The sequence below is a fragment of the Homo sapiens genome, chromosome X, assembly GCF_000001405.40.
Source record: "Homo sapiens chromosome X, GRCh38.p14 Primary Assembly".
Classification (NCBI taxonomy): Eukaryota; Metazoa; Chordata; class Mammalia; order Primates; family Hominidae; genus Homo; species Homo sapiens.
In genome coordinates this window covers 17,414,425-17,429,153 of record NC_000023.11, presented here as the reverse complement: position 1 = coordinate 17,429,153, position 14,729 = coordinate 17,414,425, and the positions used below count along the sequence as shown (strand labels likewise).

The window sequence follows — 14,729 nt, the reverse complement described above, 5'->3', positions numbered from 1 at the left end:
CCCTAATAAGGAGTTGATTTCCAAGGATAACATTGGAAGTTGCTTGCCATCCCTTCTTCTGAAAATCTCTATAGAATTCCACAAGTGTGTGCGTCTTCGTTATCAACAATGACTATTGTTGTCTCCATTGGTCATCTCAACATCACCAATGCCTGGTGTAGTGCCTGATGCGCAGTTGGATTAAATAAATATTTGATAAATTTAATTGCAGTTGGAATTCAAGAGGAGATGAGGGAACAGGCAAAAGCTTTGGTTGTGGTGAATTGGGGCTTAATGACTCTTATTTATAAACACACACACACAGAGAGAGAAAGAGAGAGAGAGAGAGACATGTGCATTCAAGGAGATAAAAAGGCTGGAAACCAGGAAGTTCCAAAAGGGCATTAATTGATTCTCCAACTCAACTTTCTTAAACTTGGGCTCACCTACCACTGGGGTCCCCAGAGACTTTCTGGCAGTATGTAGGTATATGGATAGCTTTAAGAGATTCAGTTTCCATATTTTCTGCTTCCATATGCATGCCTCCCAAAGCTGACCTGCCATCTCTGTGGCAGCTCTGCTTCTCCATATTCCCTTTTTCACAGCTGCCTTCCTCCTCCTTTAATAAAGAAAGGGAAATTGCCCACCTATTCTCAATCTTATGAGGATGCATTTTCCTAAGGAGTAAAAATCTCCCCAGCCCCAAACCGAGGTATCATTTGAGTCAGCATCACTTTAGAAGGAAAATTCCCAGGGCAAAGAAAGAACATTTCAAAAAAATTTGAAGGCCACAGTGCCATATTTTATTCAGGCAACAAATTCATAGCACAGCTTTGTGCCTTATATATCTATCTGGCCAGCCAGCTGCCTACTTATCCTAAAACCAGAACTCAGAAGGATGAAGATTGGCCAAGTACACATGTTAACACATTCACCTGAATCAATGAAGAAACCCCTTTCTTTATACTGACTAAAAGTTAATCTGGCTTGGCTGATGGTTTGACAATAAGAAATGACTTTGCAGTTAGGTCACGTACCCTGATCTAATAATTTTTTCATAAATTGAAAGGTTTTAATGAAGATATACTTAAAGCATGTATATGATATACACCAGTGCTCCTCAGACTTAAATGTGCATGTGAATCACCTGGGAATCTTATTAAAATGCTTATTCTGATTTAGTGGGGCTGGAGAGAGACCCAAGATTCTGCATTTCTAACAAGCTGCCAGGGGATGCTGATGTTGCTGACCCGTGCATCAGACTTTGAGCTGTGAGAATACACAATGTGCTGGAAAATATACTTTTGTGATGAATTCAACTTACGATTAGAAAATTCAGATATCAAATGTAAAATACACAAGGGGTGCTTGATTTTTTAAAAAATATATTCTTAGGAAGTATTCCAACAAGAAAAGATGGTAGACCTCCAATGTGGGTCACAGCTGGCAGTCTGACCCCAAGAAGTTTGAACCCAGCCTCTATTATCTGTGCAAGACAGAACTGTACTTCTGCTTTGGAGTTAATCCCAGAAGAATTTATTTCTTTTCCAGCCCTTCACATAGCTTGTGCTTTATGGTGGCAGACTCAATGGACCAAACCTTCAGCTGTGGGAATCATGGCTTCAGCCATTGAACACACACAGCCCAGTCAGCTGGCAGAGTGGACAATAAACCTACAAACACTCAGCAAGTCACTCAGGTTCTTGATTCAAGAGTAAATGGCTTCATAAACACAATCATAACAACAGCGGCATGAGTTGGTGCATGTCAATGTGTACATTTCGGTAGAGAGGGCCCAGAGACACGTATTTTGGCAGATGCTAGGTCTTGGCAAGACTGTAAGCAAAATCACAAAGCAGCCCAAGTCTGTGGTCAGTCCCAACTTCCTATCAGTACACCTTTTCCATCCAGGCACCCCATAAAGGTGGATTTGGTCTCTTCCACATTCCATTAAGTGTAGCCTCAATTCCCAACAAAAACCCACACCACACCTCTTTTAAGGAATTTTATAGGAAAACTTTACCTAAACATGTATCCCCAAATCCTCTGAACTAGCAAAATCCTATTCAGGTTTATCTCCATGTCAGAGAGATGGGAAATATATCAAGTTCTGTCAGCAGGTCAGCCAGGCCGAGCATGCCAAGTGATCTGGGGTTATAGACAGCAGATTAATCTCAAAGCTGGAACTTCTTTAAGACCAGGAAGTAGCCCCTTTTCTGATTAAAAGACAAGTCAATAATTCTGGGTCCTTGGTCCACCACTGTGATATGTCCCTTGCAAAACAGGCACTCTCAGGCAGTCTTCCCTGCAGAGCAACCATGATGGATACTGACTACTGACTTGAAAGTGCTTTGACACCCCCAGATGGAAGGAACTAATCAATTATGCTTCTCACTTAGAGGCACCCTGCTCATTCATGCTGAAGATAGAAGTCCAGATAAAAGTAGAATTACTGGGAGTCCAAGATCCAGAAAGAAAATGAGAGAGCTCAGCTGGTCACTGTGAATGATGTGCATGTGCCCCAAGCCTTTGAAACACATGACATTTTCCAGCAGCCAAGCACTCATCAAATTGCAGAATGTCGAAGCTACAAGGAAACTTAGCAATTATTTAATGATCTAAATTACTTTTATTATAGTGAAGAGGAAGCTGAGGCCTAGAGAGGTAAAATAACCTGTCATATAGCTGAGCAGCGAAAGGAACAGACTCATTACCCTAGTGATCTCCTGTCACACAACCCATCTCATGAAGCTCTCTCTCAGGTCGAGTTTAATAGATGAGAGAACAAGGGGTAGTCTGCCTATGCAAAGCAGGTACACACAATGAGATCAGAGCAAAGGGGATTTCCTCCCCTGAAGCTAAACAGCCCCCATAAGTGATGTTACGTGTTAGGATAATTTCCTTGGTGTGCTGGAAGATGTTTCACAAGCATGGGTGGTGGGGACCCTTATTTGCCATATTTGCCAATTTCTATAGTGTAAATACTCTCATCATGGCAGATTTCAAGCTACCAACTTGATGCCACTGAACAGCAGTTGGGGAGAGATATGTGCAATCAGCTCTTGTGAGCTGATAGAAGCTGGATCCTCCACACCACTGGAATTTCTGAGAAGTCTACATCACGGGTTTAGGAATGAAATAACTTTCTGGCCCACAAGAATAAAACACCCAGGTTTATGAGGAAAATCCTAGCAGCACACACTCTAGGTTTCACTCACTGAAACTCTGATTCTCTCTGGATCTCCTGGACATCACAGTTCCCATATCCATGGGATCCAGAGAGAATCAAAGTTTGGAGAAGTTACTTGGTCCATCATGTCTGTATCTCTGGGTAGTATCCTACCTAATTGATCCAAGGCAGGAGCACTGAGAGGTGGAATCCACATTCCCTATCTTAATGCTTTTGGCAACCAAGCATTCCTTTCCCAGCAGTAACAGGATCCAGTTTCCAAGGTGATATGTGAGCTCAGAGCCCCATCTTTACCAACGTCAAAGGCAGTGCTTGGATTCAGCTTCAGGTAGGCCTCCTCTGTTCATGTAAGCAGGAAGGAAAACATGTAAAACTGAATTCCTCCTCAATTTCTTTCTTTCTTTCTTTCTTTCTTTTTTTTTTTTTTTTTTTTTTTTTTTTTTTTTTTTTTTTTTTTTTTTTGGCTGAGAAGAGTTCCAAGGCTGGGGCAGCAACTCATCAGGAAAAGTTCTTAGCCTGTGCTTTCTTTTTGCCAAACATTGATTTGCTAATAGAGAAAATAACTGGTGTATAAACAAAAGTGGTTGATGACATCCAAGGGTCTGGAGCAATTCCTCCACATCGTTCTGACAGCTAACAAATGGAACTAGCTCTTAGGGAGCATGTTTAAGGAACAGCTGGAATATGTAACGGACATTTTTCTGTGAATTTGACAGGTCAAGCTCCATCACGGTTGAGCTACGCTCACCGGACGTGGATCAGAATGAACTCTGCCATTCCTCAGAAGGTTGCCAAGAGGGCTTTGAAGAGAAGGGAATCCAAGGAACTCAGTTTCAGACATGGAGAAGAATAAAGACCAGACAAATCATGAGCAAACCTGATTTAAAGAGAAAGATCTATAAATACCAGTTGCTCAGCTTTCTCCCTGGTTTCCTGACCCTATGATGAGCTCCACCAAAATTAAGTAAGTATAGCCCTTTCCAGAGGGTCACTTGGAGGGAAGATCCTGCCATATGTCGCCTATTGGTCTTTAGCCTCACCACCACCCCAACATCTGATAAAGTCAACAGACGTGAGTTCCTAAAGGATACAGAATATACAAGATACTTTCCCTTATACAAGGATTCACTCTAAGCATCGTTAAAATGGCAAACTCACCTGGGACCCCTAAGATAACCTGATTTACCAAAATCTGGTTTATCCTTAGCATATGAGGAGCACATCCATTCTCTAAAGCAAGGAGATTTTCAAGATCAATGAGCAGAGAAACTTCTCAAAAGAATTTTATAGAATTTTTTAAGATAACAAGCAAACTAACAAATGATTGAGTAAACCTGGTACTATTCCTTTTCTTCTTCCAAACTCAAGGGAGTTATTCCAAACAATAACATACCTAGAAAAGAACCTGTGAAGATTGCAAGATTATCTAAAGAAGCCACCGGGGCAAGAGCGGTGGACATGCTTCTCCACACGGCCCTGCACCCAGACCACTCATTGTGAACTCCACCCAAATGCATAAACCTTTGGGAAGCAAAGGATGAATTGATTAGCTGCAATCTGTAGGCCCAATCAATCCATCTCCACACTGTAGGGACCTGCACAGAATCTCTCCTTAAAGTCTAGTCTTTCATGAGGAGAAATTCACCTCATAAAAGACATGATCAGAAGACATGACAGCCTGGAGGAGCAAACTACTGCTAGGTCAGTGGAAGTTCTCCTCCTGTTTGTGAAAGTGAGGAGAAAAGCACAGAGCATTTGTCCCTCAGCTTGTCTCCCTTGCAGTCTTCTCACTTATTATAATTCAAAAATTACCTCCATTTCAAGGAATCCTTCTCCTTCAGAGCTTTCAGCTCAAGGTGGCCTGGTTTGATCTCTCCTGACACCACTTCCTCCCTCCACCCCAAAGTAGATTAGGATCACCTTGGATAACCACCAGAACTTGATGATTAAAACATTCAGAGCAAAAAGATCTTCAGAGGTCATGCCAACTGATAAGCCAAGTTAGTAGCAAGGCATAAAATAAGGCATTACTGTCTTTGTTCTGTGCTGATCCATGCATTGTCCTACCTACCATGCCAGCACTTTGGTCTGTGAAATATGCAGAAAAGGCAAGAGAAACACAACTGCTGACAAGAGGATGAGGAAAGGAAGAGCACTTCCAGCAGGCATTCGCTGCCTTGCCTTAATACTTAGCACTTCCACAAGCCTTTTCATCTTCAAAGCACTTGAGGAACACTAGCTAATTAATCCTCCCAACATCCCTGCAAGGTGAGGAAGGATTATCTCCATTTTACAGATGGAGAAATGGAATATTTTGAACACAGGCATAAAACCCAGTGACAGATAGAATTGCCAGAAACTGGGCTGGGATCCTTCCTGGTGTCTTTGATGCCCACTCAAGCCTGCCAAGGTATCTCATCCCCAACCTGAGGACTGCCAAAAGCTCCTAACCAGGATCTAGCCGAGCAGACAGAGGGCCAGAGGCAAGACAGACAAGGCTCTCATGCTAACCCTTCCAAGTCTCTAATTAATTCATTATCTCACTGGACTGTCTGGTTAGGGGAGGCCTCTTTTGAAGCTTAGATGGAGGAGGAGGAGATGCCTGCTCAAGTCTTCTTCTAAGCAATGATTCGATATTCCTCTCTTATATCTTCACCCTGGTTGATATTTTAAACCATTGATGAAGACAGCACATGCAATGATAGAAATCCACATTAAATCCTTCCTGGAACCAAGGCAGGTTCTAAACAAATACATGAAAAGCCATTGGCACAGTGCTTTTATTATTCAAGTTTTCTCATATTTTGAGACAGGACTTTCTCTTAATCAAACATCAGCTGCAAATGCCAGTTGGAACCCTGATCAAAACCTCCTAATTAAATGCAGTGTAGGAATTTCATGTCTATCCCAGGCCTATTACTCAAGGCATGGTTCCAAACTGTGGTGGTCTTAGAATTTCTTGGATTTTTCAAAACGTCTAAAAATCACTTGGAGATTCAGACTGCTAGTGCATTTTCAGAATTGCCACTTTGAAGTTTGACCCAGTTACCCTGTCAGTAGCTATCATCAAATCTTACCAATTTCTACCTTTTTTTCATAATATTACCCACCCCTAGAAATGAAAACTGTGTGCTTCACTCAACCAAGTACATAACAAATAAAGAACTTGGAGCCCACCTTCCCTACTCGTCCAAAGTGTCTCATAGGTTCTTCTTATCAGAAAGTACCCAAAAAAGTTTGTGAAATAAAATGTAGAAAGCAGTGGCAGTAGGTTTATGACAGTGACTCTCAACTGAGGGTAATTTTGCCTCACCAGGGATATTGGCAATATCTGAAAACATTTTTGGTGTCATAACTGGACAAAAGAGGAGTAGATACCACTGGTACCCAGTGAGTGGAGAACAGGGGTGTGGCTAAACATCCTACAGTGCACAGACAGCTCCACAGCAAAGAATGATCCAGCCCCAAATGTCAGTAGTGCTGAGGGTGGGAAACCCTGGATTTGAAAAGAACCATCGAGAAGAGACACATGCTAAGCATATAGAGGGTTTTCGATAAAAACCTATAGATTGATGGATTGAATCATTAGCTGCCCTATCACTGGGACCAACTCCTGTTGCCAAAACAAAGTCAGACAAACCCAACTAACAACAACTCAGTTAGCAATTCCACTTTTTTAGAACCTAAGTAGAATCCTGATAGTTTTGTTACCCCAGTCTGTGAATAAAAGCATAAGGTTTATTTACTTTAGAAGTCTCATAGGCATAATATTGATCAAAAGAACCCAACACAAAAGATACATATTATTATTGTACGATTCCATTTATATGAAGTTCAAAAACAAACAAAATAAATCTATGATAACAGAGGTCTGAATAGTAGTTACTGTTGTGAAAGGCGAGGTATGAGTATTGACTGAAAAAGGTGCATGAAGGAACTTTTTGGATCACTGGAAATGTTCTATATCTGTATCTGATTTGTGGTCCCATAGATGTGTACACACATCAAAATTTGTCAAGCCATACACTTAAGATTTATTCACATTACTGTATGTCAGTTATATCTCATTTTTTGAAAAGGAAAACATTAATTAAAAATAAAAAGTAGAGGCCGGGCGCGGTGGCTCACGCCTGTAATCCTAGCACTTTGGGAAGCTGAGGTGGGCGGATCACCTGAGGTCAGGAGTTCAAGACCAGCCTGGCCAACATGGTGAAACCCTGTCTCTACTAAAAATACAAAAATTAGCCAGGTGTGGTGGCGCACAGCTGTAATCCCAGCTACTTGGGAGGCTGAGGCAGGAGAATTGCTTGAACCTGGGAGGCAGAGGTTGCAGTAAGCCAAGATCACACCACTGCACTCCAGCATGGGCGACAGAGCAAGACTCTGTCTCAAAAATAAAATAAAATAAAATAAACAAAAAGTACAAAAAAGAAAAAATCAGCCACAGTATAAAAGTTTAAAACCATTGTTTTCAACAGGTAGACTTATGTTAACACCACTTGTTCAAATGATAAATATTCACAGCTTTCATCCAAATTTCATTTCCAACAGTTGTCTTCTTTCTTAATTAAAATGCAAATACAGACTTGAAAGCTAGAAAACAAGGCAGGAAAAAATGACTCTCCGCCAGAAAGAACACACCAACTTATTTCTCCTTCAAGCAATGAAATTAAATCCAGGTCTGAGAGACCAGGTCTGTCTCCACAATCCAGGCTGGCGTGTGTGTGTGTGTGTGCGCGCACACACACACACACACACGTAGAGCTGCTTTTGATGTGGCTGCCTGGGCAGCTCATAACAGGAATAACACTACTTAAAAATCTAAACAATTGCACTTCATAATTAAGAAACCACCCCTGCCCTCTCCCTCCCAAGAATAAAAAGAAATCATTAGTTTCCTGCTACTGAAAAAAAAAAGATGGCAAGTACTTTTAAAACCAGTAAATTCTCATCTGTCCCCCAAATGAATTCCTACATTTTAGTAGCCCCCTTCATGTAACACCTGTCTCTATATTTCTTATTTCCATTTTAAAAGCATACCATTACAGATCATTATAAAAATATTATAACTCTAAGTAAGAAGTCAGAAGAATGCAGGAAAACAATATACAGTTGCCAAAGGAGAACTTAGTATTTTTTTAATGATAACTATTAAAGAATGCCAATACACATTTACTGAGATTAGGCCACTGTGAGGTTGAAGACTGCTTTTCTATAAAGAAGTTCAAAATATTTACAAATATTTTTTATGTGGTCTGTCTCCTTGCTTGGATTTTGAGCTTTAAGAAGACAGGAACTACTTTGCCAACTTTATATTTAAAATGCCAAGATAAGTGCAAGACCATCAAAGGCCTTCAGCATCTGTCTGGTGAACGACAGATGGATGGATGAATGGACAAGTGAATGGGTGGAAGTGTGGATGGGTGGCTGAATGGATGGGTGGACTGGTGGATGGGTGAATGAGTAGATGGGTAGATGGGTGCAAGAATGGATGAGTGGATGAATAGATGGGTGGATGGGTACATGGATAGTTCAGTAAGTGAGTGGATGGAAGAATGAATTGACGGGTGGATTCATAGATGGGTGGATGGGTGGATGAGTGTGTGAATAAATGGATGAGTGAATAAATTAATGAATGGATTCTTGGATAAGTGCATGGGTGCAGGGGTGGACGGATGAGCAGATAGGGAATAAGAAGATGGAAGTCAGGTTAATGGGTGAATGGATGAATGAACAAAGCACTAGCAAATAAATTATATGCTTTGGCAAATTATTTTTTAGCTTCTCAAACTGTTGTCATTAAATATCTCATTATGACATTTCTCAGAGTCAGGTTCATAGTCGGTACTCAGTTAATATTTATTACCTGGTTAATACTAATTTTAAAAATTAAAATGCAAGCTCATTTTAGAAAGGGGAAGGAATCAGCAGATTGCATGCTGAGGTAGAATACTATGGCACGGAGAATTAAAATAAATCTACAACCACCAGATTTGCTGAAGAAAGTCACAGTTAATACAATGGAAATGGAAAAATCCATGAGGGATACACATAAGGTAAACACGAATTTGCTCCCAATATCTAGAAATATTAGGAAAGACAGAATTACTTATTCCAAAAGTATTTATAAGCAAGGCACTTTGATAATTCAAAATTATGACTTTCTAGAAAAGAAGCTATCATATACCTTACCTTTTAAAGTGATATCAGGAAACAATTTTAGCTTTTCATGGTACATACCTTACAGTTGGTTGGCAACAGATCCTTGAGGTGGGCGATTCACGGCCATGACTAATGGATTCGCACTTTCTAGAACTTCTAGGCCATTATTCTTTATACACTAAATCTAGAAATATTCTCTCTTTCTATCATATATATGCACACATGGGCACATATATGGTTCTTCAAGCAGCAGACCAAGTTTAAGCAATATTACATAAATTGACACAATTCAGGGCAAATACCACCCAGGCTTCCCACAGCATTAAAGACAACAGTTATTTTTTTCATGTTGTCTACATGTGCATTTTGTCTACATTTTTGTTCTCACTTCAATCCAGAAATAGCAGTCACCCAAAAGCTTTCTTTAAATGTTCCTATTCTGAGAAACACACTAGACGGTAGAAGTTTATGTCCAGATTCAGAAGGTCCACTTGAAAAAGAAAAATGTTTCAATTGAGAATTTTAGTGCAAACCAAAGATTAACAGCTCAGAACCCGATTTAAAAATGTTCCTGGTGCTGACGGCAGGCCGTTGAAGAGTTTAAACAAATGATCTGCCCGTAAGCAGTACCATGTCCTTCAGATTTCCAGGCTCCATACCAAAAAGGGAAAATTCTGTTTATGAAAGTCTATAGCAAAGCTTGCTGATTTTACGATGCATTTAATAAAAGGAAAGGATATATGTTAAACTATAAAGACACTAAGATAAAACTGCGACAAGAATATCTACAGCAGAATAATCCCATTCCTTTTTGGTTCTATCCACAAATACATACACAAGAGAAGGAAGGAGTGGTCTCTGCTCTGAGAGCCTTAGCTGTGAAACTTAACGTTTATCAGTCTCCAGCCTGACATCAATATTCTCCTCTACTTGCTCTTTGCTGTTAGAGCTGTTCTTTCTTTTCCTTCTTCTTTTCCTCCGTCCCTTAGTTTTCCTTATTCATTCTTTGACTCTCTCGTGCCCACAGTTTCTTTTCATTTCTCCTCTTTCCTTCACTTCCAAATTAAATGGGCTGAATAAACATCATCACAAAGAGAAGCCTTGTGAAAATGCACTGGGAAGGACCATTGCACCAGGTCTTTGCAAAAAAAAATGTCATAGGCTCTAACGCCACATAGAGATTTGAGGATGCACAAATCCTCAGATAATAGAGATTTATCTTTTCTGCAAAGTAGCCCGAACCTGTAAGAAGTTGAGGGAATTTCTGGCCTCCTTGGCATTGGATTGAAGGCAGCCAAGAATGAGGAGAAAGAAACTATCCTGTTTTGACAGATTAGATTTGGGACCGCTGGGGACATTCTCCAGGTAGGCCCAGCTGAAGAAACTGTAGTTGTAAAATTTCTCCCAGAAATGTAGGAGGAAATTACCCAGAGGGGCCAGTCCATTTCAGGATGATGAAGAGGTTATCTCTAGACTTCTAGCCTATTTTTAAGTAAGCAATAGTAAAACGTCTCCAACATTCAGAGAATGAATGAGTTCTCTGAATGCACCATCTTGCTCTCTCATAACATTAAGGCATTCACACATACATTTGCCATCTAGCTCATTGTTTACCTTCTCTTTTTGCATTAATGTCTTGCTACTTGGTTTTGTTGGAAAGAGTCCTTGATGGACAAGGACAGCACCTTCCAAATATTCTGCAGTGAAAATATCAGGCTTCATGCTTAAGAGGAGATTTGAGCAGCTTCATGATAAATAATAAAAATGAAGCCTATGCTTTTCCAGGACTTTGCAATTTTTGAAGTTCTTTCATGAACATGCTCTTGGGTGTCAAGCATAATCCTGACCTGAGTTGCTTAAAATGAGGCATCTCCAAATGTGGCTGCAAATGGAAGCCATCACCGACAAAATGGAAAATAGCAAAATTAACCAAAGGTACAACATTGACACACAAAATCCGTGGTCTTTTATTTCTCATCCAAATGTAAGTCACTAGACTGTTCACAGAACATTCTACAGAATATGCAGATATCTTGACCACACTGTAACTTCTATGAACATGTCTTTAATGCCCAATTAGGATTGGTCTGATTAACACAATGCCAATAAGGAACAGTAATGCAGAAAAAATTTCTTTCTCAGATAAGCCAATGATTAATCACTGTAAATGACAAAATGGACCCTGAAGGCCATAAGTTAGTAAAATTATTGCTAAAAACTTGGATTTTATATTGCATTTTGTTTTACTTTTTGCAGGTGGAAGAGTTTTATCACAAGTTTTGTGGTTGACATGATGACATGAAACCAAAGTGGTTCTGATGCAATCACCCAATCTTAGTGCATTTGCTCCTGCTGCTCTGCTTATCTACCCTAACATGGTTTATATAATTGAAAAGGTTTCAGGAAAAGAATAATTTTTCAGATAAAATCATTACTGAATGTTCACTATTTAAATGTAGAGAGTTTGTATGTTAATTTTAAAAAACCTTTTAAAAAATATGTTCTTGTAAATTACATATTGTCTATGGCTGCTTTTTCTTTACAACAGCAGACTTTGAGTAGCTGTGACAAAGACTAAATGTCCCACAAAGCCTAAAGTATTTACTATCTGGTCCTTTACAGAAAAAAAATTTCTGACCCTGGTATGCAATACTTCAATTTAAAAAAAAATCTTAGTTTTTGTGTCTTTGAAACTCAGACTCTGTGTGTGTGTGTGTGTGTGTGTGTGTGTATTCTGTTTTCTTAAATTCACACAGACCCACAAATACAGAAGCATTGTGTCATCACATAACAATATTGAAGTGTTTGTCCAGAAGGGTAATAAAGAGGGTGAATGTAATTATCTTTCTATTTCTTGAAGAGAACACCCCCTTTTACAAGGCTCATTGAAAGAAAACTATGACTCTTTTGTAACTAGATAACAATTTACACCAATCGCAGTAACTGCCTTCCAACTCAAAACACGCACTCCCTAGTTTGTCTCTCTCTCTCTCTCTCTCTCTCACACACACACACACACACACACACACATACTCCTACATTTTCCTAATGGATCCCAACCACTCATTCAGAAAATATTTACTGAACACTTACTAGATGCCAGGTGCTATGCTGGGCCCTAAGAATCCAAAACAGAATACCATATGGCCCCGGCCCTCACCAGGCTTGCAGCAGACTGCAACAGGCATGTAACATTTGATTACAGTCCCATGCAGTAAGTACTGTTAAGAGAAATATCTGTAAATATGAAAACATTTTAGCAGCAAAGTGGATGGAGTGAGCAGATGAAGTTAGGGAAGACTTCACAGAGGAAGTTATATTTCACTTGTGCTTGGAAGTCTGAGTAGGAGTTGTTTGCAGTGAAAAAGAGAAGAAAAGGTATTTTAAGCAGCAGGAGCAACAGCACATGCAATGAAGTGAAATAAACATGGTAGATCTGGAGACCTGCACATCACATGTGCTGGAGTCCAGGGGAAGCAGGGAAGTGTAAAGAGATGAGTTGGGAAAAGTGAGCTGGGTTCAGACCTACACCTTGCTAAGGAGTTTGAACTTTATCTTGTATAGGTGAGGGTTATAGGCATTTGTTAAGCAGATAAATGGCATACTCTGATTTTTGGTTTAAGATGAAAACGTTGGGGGGTAGGGTGGAGAGAGGATGAGGGTGAGAGAGAGACTGAAAGCAACGACTTCCCAGATTTATCAGTGTATGTCCACCCATGCACAAGCCCTCTCTGGCACACTGAGTGAACAGGGCATCCATAAATGGAAGATATCCTGGTGCCTGAGTGAACCGAGGAAAAAGTCCACACAGCCTGTTGGTTGGAAAATACAAATCATAGCATGCCAACTTTACTTTCTAAGAGGCAAATACCAGCCGCCTTTCTATTGCAGCTTGTGTGCCTGAAAATCTCCAGTACCCAGAGCGAGCCCATGCAAATGGCAACAAAAGTAGACAGAAATGCTACAGTTACCAGCTTTTATGCTTGTGGTCAAAAAAAGAATGAAGACTCTGTTTCTAAGCCCAGAAACATCGATTATTACAATATCCCAATCTCAGTCCAGACATCTCCAACTTGTGGAATGTTTGTGCCATACTCTCCCTTCAGAAATGCCTCCTCATTACAGAATTCTTGCAAAAGTGAAATAATTCCAGCTACTGTTTTTCCCATAAAAGGGACCACTGTGCTTCTGCTACTTTCCCCCAGCATGTTTCTGTAGGTGGTCATTTCAACAATAAAGGAAGTTCAAGGGTTCAAACAGATTTCCACTGTTACAGCCCAAAAATTTGAGGTTTTTTCAAGGAAGTCCCCCCTGCCGAGCAATTATGCTTGAATTCAAGGCTGGCTATTTCTTACCAAAGCTGTGGAGAGAGGAGGGCAGAGGGGAAAAGGGATAAGGAAATGAGGGAGGGAAGGGGAGAAGATAAGAGACTAAAGAAATCAGGGCACTCAGTCAGAAGTAAATGTTTGCAACTGGCCATCTGATACCATTGAGACTCGGGAACACAGAGGAGAGAGGAGTCCAGAGGATTGATTCATTCCCCATTCTTATTTTTGGCTAGTTTTTACTCTGATAGATCAATGCACTTAGGAAAAACAAATATCTAGAGGAGCCACAAGCGGGCTATACCGTGTCCCAGGGAACAAGTTCAAAAGGTCCTGGAAGGAGCCAGACAGATAGAGCCAGTGTCCCGGCAGAGAACATTTGCTTGTTCTTGGTGCAGACTTGTCATCTGCTCAGCTGTCCCCAGCGAGGTCTCCACCCCTATGTGATATCCCACAACCTCCCGGGGCAGGGCAGGGCAGGCTCAGTACCAAGATACCAGCCAACCCCCGCCCCCATGCAGTGTTGCCAAGGGCAACAGAGAACTGCAGCCTCACCATTTTCTCTTCTGCCTTTCTGTCCTCCATTCTTGAACCCTTGCTGCTCTGCCTCTAATCTTTCTTTCCTCTGCCTCTGTGGAAGGGGGCAAGGAGGGGGAAGGTCTGTCTGTCTTTCTCTCTGTGTTGCCTATCCTAAAGTAGAATTCATCTAATTCATCGTTTTCAGAGTGGATACTTGAAAACATCATAGGCTAGGAAAATTCTTGTTCCCCTTTGCCGTCATGCTAAAACTCCCAGGGTCTCAGCCACCCAGTGGCTCACCTTCCAGGTCCCAGTGCAGGGAGACCTCTCAGGAAAGCATCTCTGGTGCCATTTCCTTGTCACTGCTAATGAGCAAACTGCTAGTAACGTCTTAGAGAAAACAGGCCCAAGCTAAGAAGAGGCATTCTCTAAAACATATTACCTAATTGTTTCACTGGCGCGGAGACGGGGGAGGGAGGGAACATTATGAAATAAAAGCCTGGAAAGCCCACATATTTTTAGAAGCAAATTGCACATAAAAGTACATGATCGTC

General features: G+C 40.7%; 1 protein-coding gene and 1 non-coding gene across 3 annotated transcripts in view; both read right to left on the bottom strand.

Moving 5' to 3' along the window:
- Positions 1-14,729, bottom strand: part of NHS (NHS actin remodeling regulator) — a 360,795-nt gene that overhangs the window by 306,841 nt on the left and 39,225 nt on the right. The gene's annotated exons all lie outside the window — the stretch shown is intronic.
- On the bottom strand, positions 3,200-3,273 carry MIR4768 (microRNA 4768). The gene has a single exon (NR_039925.1). It is a non-coding gene; the product is annotated as a microRNA 4768 (primary transcript).